Source organism: Homo sapiens, chromosome 1 (assembly GCF_000001405.40).
Source record: "Homo sapiens chromosome 1, GRCh38.p14 Primary Assembly".
Taxonomy (NCBI): domain Eukaryota; kingdom Metazoa; phylum Chordata; class Mammalia; order Primates; family Hominidae; genus Homo; species Homo sapiens.
Window position 1 is genome coordinate 78885555 of NC_000001.11, and position 13139 is coordinate 78898693.

Here is a 13139-nt window from a genome sequence, read left to right on the forward strand (position 1 = left end):
AACCACATTTCTTAAGGACAATTTTGAAAGAAACCTATTATTTTTTCCCTTATTTTTGAGGGCATAAAATTGTAATATACTTTGTAGACCTTATTATTTACATTGCCTCAAATGGGGGGTTGGAATTAGAAACATAGTACATTGGCACCAGAAGAGATCCGTTGCAGCTAAACTAACCCTCTCATTTTATATTAATCATAACTATCACACAAACCTGTGATGTGCAATGTCTGAATGAAATACCAGGTAAAATGTTCTGCACTTTCAGATTGCTTACCAATCTTAATGCTTGCTCAAGCCATCAATGTAGGGTAAATAATTCAAATCCTTTTCACTTAAATGAAAATGCTCAAGGAGCTTTGTGGATCTCAAATCCATAGTATGATTTTCACTGAATACTTACTAGAAACATCAAACAACCTTTATATCAATGAAAGGGTTATGATGTTTTGGCTCATCAACATGGGTCCACATTCATCTTAAGAAAAAAAACAACATTAGCATTTGGTATTTTCAACAACAAAACCAAGCCGTATGGCATAGGGAACATTATTTTTGAAAGGCAGTGAGCTCTTCCAATATATTATTGCATTAGTTCAGATTGTATATCAGCTGTGCAATTATGGTACATCCTCAATACAAAATATTATTCAGCCATTAAATGAATTAATGGGCTATACTTGTTAATTTAGCAAGTGAGAAAAGCAGGTAACGTAGGCATTATTATAATGTGATGTCATATTAACGTTCTCAATAAGATGATATGAACAGGAAGAACAATATGCAAGAATATATGCCAGTTGGTTAACATGAATTGCCTGGTTGAGGGTGTGAGTAGGAATGGGGGATGGGAATAAATGTGCAAGGAAAGGGCAGCGAAGCGAGAGAAAAAGAATAAAAACACATTAACTTAAAACTTATGCTATGCACTTATTTCAAATCACAGATGCATGTAGAAAAGACATTAAAATCCCATGTTAAAAAAGTATGTCGGCTGGGTGCGGTGGCTCAAGCCTGTAATCCCAGCACTTTGGGAGGACAAGGCGGGCTGATCACAAGGTCAAGAGATTGAGACCATCCTGGCCATGATGGAGAAACCCTGTCTCTACTAAAATTACAAAAAAATTAGCTGGGCGTGGTGGCGCGTGCCTGTAATCCTAGCTACTCAGGAGGTGGAGGTAAGAGAATCACTTGAACTCAGGAGGTGGAGGTTGCAGTGAGCCGAGATAGTGCCATTGCACTCCAGCCTGGGCAACAAGGGCAAGACTCGGTGTCAAAGAAAAAATAAAAAAGTATGTCATGCTTCCTCTAGCCTCAAGAGAACATAATTGTAAACTGGAATATTATCCTTACACTATACAAATGTATAGCTGTGGAATATACCCTACAGAGGCAGAAAGCTTGGGTATGAATCCAGCCATTTTCAATCCTTATCTGAGTCTGAGCAAGTTTGTGAGAGCTCCTATAGGGGAGCAGCAGGAGCTGTAGCTTTGAGTTTGAAAACTAACTTTGCTATTTCCTACCTGTGTGACATTAGACACTTTTCACGTTGAAAAGATAAGGATAGAATTGCATATGTTAGTGTGAGAATTAAATGGGATAGCACAGTTTAACTATTTAAAACTGTATCAACGTTCAAGAAAGAAATATTTTCTTTAAATGCCTTTACCAAGTTATTTAACTCCTATCTGTAATCTAAAACCTAGGAACTTGAAGCTTGAGCACTGAATGATGACTTTACAATGATTCTTATTAAGTGTTATGTTATCATGTACACCCTGTAAGTGCTATAGTGGTAGCGATTGTGGAAATTAATAAGGACCAAATTGACCAGAGAGCTTCATAATGTGAAGTCTTGAATGATGGGTAAAATTTGCATTGAGAAGACATTCCAGGTAGGGGGAAAACTTGAACAATGGGGTACTATTTCTGGATTCATACTGAATTCATAATTCATGCTTCCCTCAAAAATTTCATGTTGGAGAAATTAGACAATAATGTGATACATACAAATGGGTCCTATTTTGTAGGGCAGTGAAGATGTGTGTAGAAAGTTAGATAGAATATATAGAAAATTAATGATGCAGAGTCAGCATTTAATTTTATGGGGCTAGCATTAAATTGAAAAGGACTGAATAAATGATGTCATCATCAAATTATGAAAGGCTTATTAGTTATGCCTAGTATGAAGATTGTGGATTATTTGTTTATAGACCCTCATGTTATTTCTAATTATTATATTGCATGTAAATAAAATTTTCCCAACTACAGTGTAATCGGTTGACGAACAGATATTTTTTATTAGGGGATTATTACATCTCTAGTTAATAGCAAGTTTTCACACAGTCAGAGAATTTATCTTATACTTCCCTGGTGTCTGTCCATCTCATTGCTTTAGGCCAAGCTTAAAGTATTAAGTTATTTGATTGAATCTTCTGAGATTTTATAACTCCCCCTTTGTTTGTTTGTGAAGAAGAGTTTGTAATTTAGTATTTACTGATGATCTTGTGACATATTTTACAGGTTAAGGTGGTTGAGTCTCAAATCTTAATATTTACCTAACTCACTATCAAATGAGGAAGTGGAATAAGGAATAACATGAGGAAAGACAACCAAATGGAAAATGAAGCATAACTTTATTATTTTGGTAAGCTCCTTACAAATCCTCCAAAAATGTCTTTTCTGAAAAAACTGAATTGAATAATATATGCTCAAAGCTATATTGCTCACCTAATTACTCTGCCTTCTCTACTTTACTAATTTGAAGTTGCTGGGTCATCCCTTTCCACCTAATTGCATGGTGTGTGTGAGACAAGCATGAAAGGCTTGGCTAAGTGGGCTTCCAGAACGGAATAGGTAAAGCAAAAGAGCAAAGGCCAGATTGTTCAGAGGGTGCAGACCTCTTATGACATCAAACATGTGGTCAGGAAGCAACAGAAAATAAGTAACATCGATTCAGGAAACCCAAAATAAAAAGGGTACCTGTGTTTAAGAAATAACAGAACACCATCCAGTGAATGTCCTGAGCTGGGCTGAATAATTACAATACAGTGTAATAAATGTTAAATAGATAAGTACTAGATAGAGTGGTGAGACAAAGGTAGAAATGATTAATTCCTTGTGTGAGTCAGAGAAGGCTTCCTAAAGAAAGATGCATTAAGGGCAAGTAATATTTGCCAGAGTAATGATTGTCACAAGGACGAAATTCCAGAAAAGGGGAATTCGGTAAACCATGGCAAATTTGGGGAAAGGTAAAGTGTTTGGTATAACTGAATAAACTTGTCAGGCAAAAATGAAAACTGGGGAGGAAAGTAGATATGAGAAGCTCTTAACTGTCATACTAACAAATATAAGCTTTGTCCAATGATATCTATGAAAAGGTGGATGAAAAGAAGACAGTTGGGTGAGTGCTTGCCCTAATGATCTGAACAGTAGTTCATCTCCAAAGATCTTATTACATAAATATTTCCATCGTATTCATTCCTAATGGCTGCTGTAACAAATTATTCACAAACTCGGCTTAAGACACCATAAACTTATTATCTTATAGGTCTGGAGTTTAGAAGTCTGAAATAGGTTTCCCTGAGCTAAAACAAAGTTATCAGCAGGGCTGACTCCCTTCTGGAGATGCCAGGGAAGAATACATTTCAAGCCTTTTTCTGCTTCTAGAGGCTGTCCTCATTTCTTGGTTTGTGGAGTTCCATTTCAATGCCAGCAATGGCTGGTAGAGTCTGCGCCACACTGCATCACTGTAACTCCTGCCCTTCTTCTGAATCTCTCCTTCACTTATAAGGACATTGTGATGACACTGGGCCCACCCGGATAATCTAGAATCATCTCCTCATCTCAAGGTCAGCTGATTAATAGCCTTAATTTCATCTGCAACTTTAATTCTCCTCACCATGTAATCTACCATATTAAGAGGTTCTGAAGATTAGGGCATGGACATTTTTTTGGGAGGGGGCATTATTCTGTCTACCACGGGAAGTTTTGAATATATCTATTAAACAGATGAGTATTTTCAATATCACATTTCTATAACATTATCCTGCAATGGCACTGATAATAATAGGTCACAGGCTTACCATGTAAGAAATTAGAAGATAATGAGAAGTTATTATCATGGATTCCCTAAAAATGTAAAAGACCCTTGGCAGGTAGCTCATCTTTCTTGAGAACAGGAATTCAGCAAAGCTGTAGCGGAATTACTTCATTTAGATAACATTTTATTTGTTAGAGCAAGATTTGGCAGACTTCATTTCAACAGCTGGAGGAATTAATTTAAAATCACAAATTTAGTGTATTGGCACACTTTTACAGGTCGGCAAAGAAAAATTACCTATTTTTGAGATCAAAATCACTGCTTATACATTTTAATGAGAAGATTTAAAGACAGATAGAAGCTATATATTTAAGCAGATATGATTTAATAGATAGTAGAAAACTGTCAGAAAATGGATCCACTGTGAAAACCTCTACAGTTCTCCATGATTTCTTTGTTAACAATAACAATTTTAAATGTGTTTACACATTGTTAACAATAACAATTTTAAGTGTGTACTTTTCTGAACAGAAAAAATAGCAATTCACTTTATAAATACTTTCATATTTACAATACCCCTTTAAAAATAGTAAATTAAAGGGAATATTGCAATGTGAACTGTGATATTTATAAAATTAAAAATAATAAAGGATTCAAATATACTAATGAGATAGTATAACTTTCACTTCACTGAAAGGTAATAGAATACTTCAGCTTTATTACACTGTTTTTACATTGATAGGTATAAACAATATTATATCTTGACACATTTATATTTTACTGATTAACTATCCAAAGTCACAATCTGTGAAATAAGTAAGGAAATAGTATATATCTCAGTCTAACCTTAGAAACAGATTTTTTTCACTTTTTTTTTTTCAATTTGTGGAGGTAAACCTTTTTTTTTTTTTTAGAATATTAGAAAAAGAAACAGATTTAGCAAACAGAAGTCTAAGTTGTTTTAGTGGACATTTAAGTTCAGAACAATTCACAAAATGGTAAAATGTGTTTCTTCAATTCTTTATTTTATGTCAACAATTTCTCAGCTAGTCTACAGAAAAAACAGTTCATTCAAAATACATCTTATCATTCCCTTTTCACTGTTTGATATTCTGCCCCTTCATTCTCTTATGTTCCACTTTCTGTAATGGAGCTCATTACCGAGGTGGTAGGGGACTAGTTTCAAAGGCAACACGAGTCACAGAAATATCAAGCCAGTGGTTTCCTTCAGGACATTCATATACTTCTCGTGTTAGAAAGAAAATCTTTCCTTGGGTGCAGTGATATCACTCCTGAGAAACCAATTACTTTCCAAATATCTGCAATACTATTTTTGACAGAACTATTTCACATAGAAAAACATAGTATATCTATATGATACATAATTTTACCTTATTATCTACAGTTCCTATAGCATAAACAGAAAAACTGATTTAAAATACTTTTTGTCTAGTAGTTAATAATTGGATAATTTGATGAGTCATTTTTATACATTGGTCATCCACAGCTTGGAATTTTTATTTTTGTGCAGTTGTAATTATCCACCATTCTCTATGTTTACCTTAAACATCCAAAACAACAGGGGACATTTTTGAACAATCTGTAATATTCTTCTTGAATCTAAAAATTAAAAAAAGGAAAGGAAGAAATGTTAATCATAACAATCACATTTAATTTCTTTTTCAAATCACAATAAATTGTTACATATGGTTTTCTAAAGTATTATAGCTCAGAATATGTCCATTTAAGTTATATTTATATCCCTAATACCAAGGTTCTTTTAAAAGCATATTTTCCTATGAACAGCTAGGCGATTTAGGCAATAAAGGCAGAAGTCATAAATCTATGAGAGTAAGAATTTTCTATCAATTTGGCAACTGATGTTACATGAATATACTAGGAACCACCAAAATAAGAAATTGTTTACCTTTCTAGATAAAACACACAGGAATAAAAAAATGAACATCCCCTGGAAAGCATTGCTGACTGTGAAGAGGTAAGCTGTAACCACTGATGCGTGCACAACATGGAGAACCCCAAAGATCCAGGTGGTGCCGAGAAGGAACAGAAGAGCGAGGGCTCCTCTTGCACAAGACCTATCACATATGAGAAATGCGTCAGTGAAGAAAGCTACGTATAGTCAACATATCTCCCAAATTACTCAAATTATGTGGGAGGTGAGTTTTCAGTATAACCAAGAAACCTTTTACAAATAGACCCAATAGAATTTCCAAACTGCTAAGTTGTGCTGCAGTTAGGTGTGACAGCATTTAGGGTATGTTGCTGCTACTGAACCGTGGCAGGGGTGTGCTTCCAAAGTCAAATTGCTGTTACCAAAACATGTTATTATGTTTAAGATTAAGTAATTTCCTTCACCTTAAAATATTTTTGTCTGGTGTACTGCAGTGTGCATGCTTTGATTTCAAATGTAATGTTGCAGGAATTCCCAAAGGTAAGACATATATCTGTTAGGAAGTATTTTCCCTAAGAAACTCCGAAAAGAAAGTATACCATGTGGACTGGGGTCAGCACATATCTACTACATCAAAGGAGGCTCTGCTTTTCTTTCAGGTTGAGAAGAAACGAACGTGTAGGATATAAAAATAGGGTTTTGTTTTATTTTGTTTTGCTTTTGCAATACAAAAATATGTCAAAATAAATTCATCACAGAATACTGTTTTCTTAAAAATTAAAGAAAAAATACACACACATACGCACTCTTACATCTTTTCAGCAGAATGCCTGTGACTTTTGGTAAAACAATATTCTACCCTGCTCACTAAGGACATTGCCTTGGAAATGAAGCAACTAATGATTATTCTCTCATTCATTTTTAGTCCAGTCATTCTTTATTGCAGCAGATGTTTTAGCAGTGTACCTCAGAAAATGAGTCATTTTCAACTTTATTAAAACCAGTACACTACATGAAACCATAACTGGTGAGGACTAAAAGAAAGTAATCGATCAAACATTTATTAAATCCCAACTATAAATCTTGTGCAAAGTATTGAAACTACAGGAGTGTTCCCAAGCAACACAAATAGTCCTTGGTTTCCAGTGTTCCCTATAGTATAATTCAGCTCTTCCTGAACAAATCATTTTCAAGGTTTCAATAAATCAGTTTTAAAGCGGGAGGGTGGGTGTAAAGGAAAAATCATGACAACATGCAAACTAGGGATAACAAGAAAGAAACAGTTACTAAGTTCTGAAAAGCATTTTACAAAAGAAAATCACTAAGGCCTTCCTTGCCTTAAAACACAGTCATCGTCTTTTCCCTTTCAAAGGGGTGTATGTTTGAAAAAATTGCTTCTTACCACTGAATCTGCAGTAATTGTAGTCTTAATATACATACTAAATGCTATTTTCCGATGCGTCTTTTAAATATGGTAAAGTATGAAACAATCATTTAAAAATAATTCCCCAAATTATTTGTACTTTGAGTTACTAAAGCTTTTAATTACCAAAAAAAAAAAAAAAAAGTGAACTTAAAGACGCATTTACCTTATGTTCTCAAAGCAACTAACTTCTGGTTTCAACCCTGCAGTGTGACGAAAAACTTTGTATATGATGACTCCAAAAGCCAAGAGATTAACCTGGAAAAAGAATTAATTTCAAAGAAGAGATAGTTTTCATCTTAAATTGGATACATATAAAGAAAATAAATGGTAAAGATTTCAATAAGATAGAAACTAAAAATCATGGCATTTATATAGTTCTTTACAATATCACTGAAAATTATCAGTACAAGTGGTACCGAAAGCAACCTGTTTATGAAACTTCTTCAGATGTTATCATCATACCTAAAGATTGATGAGTATCATCTGCTGCCACTAATATGATTAATATATACATTAAGTTAAATTTTGGTTTGGAAAGCTTTATAAACACTAAAGAAAGCAAATTTTTGTTCAGTAATTTCTATACTGTTTCTTTGAAGAAATGTGTTAGTGATAATTCCGTGAACCCTTTAAAAATTTAGACTGGAAAAGAAAAATTGAAAGATTGAAAAGAAATAAGAAAACTCAACAAAACACTCTCAGTTTCTAATGTGAGGAAATGTTTGAATGTACTTTCTCTCGTATGATTTATCTAGATTCTCTCCTAATACAAATGTTAATATTTCTTTTTCCTTGATTTAACCGTGGATGCTTTCAAAATGTTAATCAATGAATTAAATGTTTGTTGTTAGGCAAATAAATGTTAACACATTCTATTATTTGTATTTTGTAATATGGGCTAAATAGAATTGGAGAGTTGTCACCCTTTTTATTGTGACTGCATTATGAAAAGTTGCCTCTTATTTTCCTTTTTCTATAGTTTTGAAGACCTCCAAGTCATATTTGCAGTGTTAGAAGGCTAAATGAAGGGTATATGTTAAATGTATAGATAGTCTAATATGAGCATGCCAATAATTTAAAATATTAAATATTATAGAAATAGTTGGAAGGCTAATCCCTTATGAAATCTATTTTATTAATTCAAGCAGATTTTTCCAAAGACACTTTGAAATGACAACAACAAAGTGCAACATTATAATTTTCAGCTAATTCTTCTACTAGTAATTCAGAAGCTTACAGTTTTAAAACATTTCTTTTTTCTATCTTCTAATGAGTTTTATGTAGCCTCTCAAAATGAAATTTAGCATATTGTAGTATTACAAACAGCAGTATAAAATAATGGGCCTGAGAATTTCATGTTGCCACTTTTGTATGGAGGGGTCCTTGAGAGGAAATCTCGGAAGAATAAGGGGTCTAGTCTCTATTTCCTGTTTCCAAATGTCCATTACTTCTAATTATATGAGTAATTAATCCTAATTATAGTAATGCTTCCATACTTTAGCAATTGTAGAGGTGAGATAAAGAATATTTAAATTGATTTAGGTGATAGTTCCATCCTCTTTGTATGCTCAAATAATTAACTGAAATGACAATTAAATAATATTTAATTTTATAAGTAGTCTTTCATACTCATGAAACTGGAATACTTAGTATTTTCTAGATTTCAATAGCTATAGCTTCTTTGTATAAATTTGGAAACAACTGTATTTAATTTTATAAATATATGCACATATATTTACAAATAAGAGTTGTAAAATTTGGTTAGTCTAAATAATATATGCCTACCCATTATTGGTTTGAAAAACTTTAAATAATTTTTATGAGGTATTTATATTGATCTTGCTATCTCAACAAAGAAAGACTTAGAAGATAAAGTAAATGACGAGAAAAGCTGTTCTCTAGATCCACAAGTTTTCCACATAAATAGTAATTTATTTAAGTTTCTTAAACTTCTGTTTTCAATAAAACTGAGTTTGAAAAATAGTTGCTCATACTGCTAATGGTTTCTCAGAAGTTCACATTCATTTTGGATATGCTCTTCTACATCACATGCTGAACTAGTGAAGAGAGGAAATGGAACATTCCCTGAGGTGATCCAAATCTTGAAAGTACATTTTTTCTGTAAAAATGGAAAATGTTTACATACTTATAAAACCCAGGTGCTGCTGGGCAAGTGGGAGACTAATTCTTATTCCATTAGCTCATATTTTTCCAAATTTAAGAGAAAACAGATTAAAACATGTTTATCAAAAGGCGTTATAGTTTCATGTTATCCAAAAATCACAAATATACTGATTATATTATCCACATTCATTGATAATAATACAAATATGCGGAACTTTTTATTTTCACTTATGCTAAGAATTTTTTTAAAGGGCCTATTAAGTGTCTGGTGCAGTGGCAAGGGCTAGGTACCTACTGATGATTAAAACAGACATGGTCTTTTGTTCTCATATATTCTATTGAGAAACAGATAGTAAACAAATAATCATACAATCCTTATAAATCTACAAACTGTGATAAATGCTATTAATTCACAAATTAGAATTGTTAGGAGAGACAAAATGGACATGTAAGACTAGAATGAAGGTTTAGGAAGTACCTGTCTTGGGACTTAGCATTTAAACCTGGATTTAATCAGTTATGATGCATTAGTAGATCAAATAATGAAGGGAAAAAAAGTATTCTACAGAGAAAAACAGCATAGGAAAATCTTCAAGGCTTGAGGAGCTAAGAAAGTGATATTCCTACAAACAATTGATAAAGATGGCTGGAGTATAGTAAGCAAAGCGACGAGTGGCATGACATGAGTTGGGTGAGGAGGACAGGGACAATTATCACTTAGATTTTATTTGAAGTGCAAAGGTTTATTTGCTGTTTTGTTCAATAATTATTTATGTACTGTAGGCTTTCTCCTTAAAGAACCTATAGTATGCTGGAGGAGATGACCAGAAAACAGGCAAGTGCAACACGACTCAGAAAGCACCAGGTAGTTGTTTACATAGTTTCATGAAAGAACACAGGAGACTGCACCTTAAATAGGGATTTCTAAGCAGTCTTGAATGACCAGTAGAGGCGAAGGAGGACAACACAGAGAAATAAATGATTACTGTGAACAGCAATCATTGAACCTATTTATGTACTCTCACTTCCTAGGTGATCAGACCCAATGGTTCATGCCACTCTTCCCTTTGTTTACTATACTCCTGCCGCCTTTATCAATTGTTTATAGGAATATCACTTTCTTAGCTCCTCAAGCCTTGAGGATTTTCCTATGCTGTTTTTCTCTATAGAATACTTTTTGTCCCTTCATTATTTGATCTACTAATTCATTATAACTGATTAAATTCTAGTTTAAATGCTAAGTCCCAAGACAGGTACTTCCTAAACCTTCATTCTAATCTTACATGTCTGTTTTGTCTGTCCTTTGGCCCAATCTAACTCCTCCATTTGGAAGTCTAATAGGCATTGTGAGTTAAAGAAAAGTCAAAAACCAAACTGCTGTTCTTCCTGCAAATAACCTATTTTTTTCTGCAATCTTCCCCATCTCAAAAAAATGTTATCTTACTCTTCTAAGTTATCAGTCAGTGAACTCTTTATTTCTACCTTCAAAACATGTTCAGAATATGACCACTAACTACTTACCATTTCCACAGACACTATCCTGAAACGGGCCACCATCATGCCTCCTCTGTGCTACTTCAGAAACCTCCTAATTGATCTCTCTTCTGCCATCCTTATCTTCCTATAATCTATCTCATAATAACAGTCAGACTGATCTCTTTAAAATGTAAGTCAGATCTTTTCACTGTTCAGAATCCTCCAATGGCTTCCTATGTCATTCAGAGTTAAAATAAAAGATTGCACAGTGGCTTTTAAGGTCTGAATGATTTGATCTCTGCTATACCTCTTCCCCCAAGCGTTACTTCTCTATCTTTTGACCACTTCACTCCACTCACAGTGAGTTCATCATAGTTTCTCCAGTACCCCATGCACCATGCCATAGGGCAGTTGAATTTGGGCACTAAGATATTCCCATGGCTCATACCCTCATCACTCTGTTTAAATGCCATCTTGCCTACATACTCCCTGCCATGTGCTTATATTAAAAAAACTGAAACTCAAATGATAAAATCAGACCTAAGTTCAATTTTATGGAAATGTAGAGAATGATGAGTATTCTTTACTGTTTTGTACAATGCAAACTTTGTAGGCCAACATATTCTTCCCTTGCCTTTGTCATTAAAAAACTGACACTCTCCTTGACCAAGCTTTAGCCAGGTTCCTGTGAGTCCCCTTCACTACTAGTTAAGCCTTGACTTTGGGCTTCAGTGTCTGATCTTGTGGAGTCCAGTTTTAGTAAAATTTCTGATAAGTCAGTTTAGAGAGAATCTCCTCACTTCTGATACCTGATTGTTCTTAATACCTAATCAAATTCTTCAACTCACATCCTTGATATTTGCTCACCCTGGCTTGCCATTCAGTAGGAATCCTGTTAAGTCAGTTTAGCAAGAATTCCTCTTACCCATGTTGTCTCTTCTCAGTAATTATTCCATTACCCTTAACTTGCACCTTGGCTATAAATCCCCTGATTTCAGAGTTGGGCCAATCTGCCTCTCCCCTGCCATAGTTTTGACACCTATCACAGTAGTCCTGAATAAAGTCTCCCATGCCATTAACAACAGTCATAACAAGTTTTTTCTTTAACTTTGTATCAGAATAATAACTTTTGCCAGAAAAAATACTTATCTAAAATTATTTAGAATATGTTTTTCTTTCATTACTCAAAATTTCCTGAATGATATGATCCAAAGTCATATTACAATATTCAGCAAAGTTGGGGTAAATAAAGAAAAATGTAAGTTTTCCCAGTTACCCCTAATGTCATATTAAAATATTCAGCAAATTTGAGGTAACTGGCAAAACTCACATTTACTCGTTTATATTTTCTGTGTCCTCTTTTTATCCATAAATATATAAGCTACTTCAAATCCTTTTTCTAACAGTGTCAAAGCTTTAAATAAAGAATCAGTATCACCTAAAGACATCTAAAGGCACATGAGTTTATGTACCTAGAGGTGGAAATAAAGTTTACACGGTATGGAAAAATATCTTTGGGGAATTTTATGAAATAGGTGTGAAGTGTTTGAAATGAGGTTAAAAAAAAGGATACCTCAAAAAAGGAGGATAAAGAATTAGAAAGCATTTTTAATAATAAAAATCAGTTTTCAGTTAACCCAGAGGTGATGACTTGGAGGAAAGATGATAAAAGTCTCCATTTTGGGTTGAACAGCTAGAAAGATACTATCAGCACTATGTTTATATGGCAGTGTCTAATATCATGATAGCAGACTTGGGTAAATCTTTAAAATGTAAGAAAAATCATTGGTATTCATCTGAATTAAGAAAATAGTGCTTTTCAAATGAGATGCACTTTTACTCTTTAGTGCATATCTGTGTGTGCTTATTTAATCCACTGTGGTCCATTTATTAATCTCTAAATGTTAGTGCCAAAAAAGCACCAGGGATAACTAATGATTTGTAAATGAATATTCCTTCATTATCACTTTTGTCTCATTTTTTTTTTTTTAACGATTTCAGATTGTCAGCTTGGGTTCCATGATACTTTGATAGAAATAAACAGGGCAAGGACCTTAGATGGCAAGTATAAGAACTTTGAAATTCAATGCTGCACTTCAGAATACAGAAGAGAATAAAAATAGCTGTGAAGAAAAAAAGTCACTCAAAGTCATGAACAC

At 33.7% G+C, this 13139-nt stretch overlaps 1 protein-coding gene across 1 annotated transcript in view; it reads right to left on the reverse strand.

Moving 5' to 3' along the window:
• Nucleotides 1–4209: 4209 nt before the first annotated feature.
• ADGRL4 (adhesion G protein-coupled receptor L4) overlaps nt 4210–13139 on the reverse strand; it is a 116967-nt gene continuing 108037 nt past the window's right edge. Inside the window, exons 13-15 of the mRNA NM_022159.4 lie at nt 7544–7635; nt 5970–6138; nt 4210–5662 (exon numbers count right to left, since the gene is read on the reverse strand). Coding sequence (NP_071442.2) covers nt 5600–5662; nt 5970–6138; nt 7544–7635 — 324 coding nt within the window. The 3' untranslated portion in view covers nt 4210–5599. The remainder of the gene's footprint in view (nt 5663–5969; nt 6139–7543; nt 7636–13139) is intronic.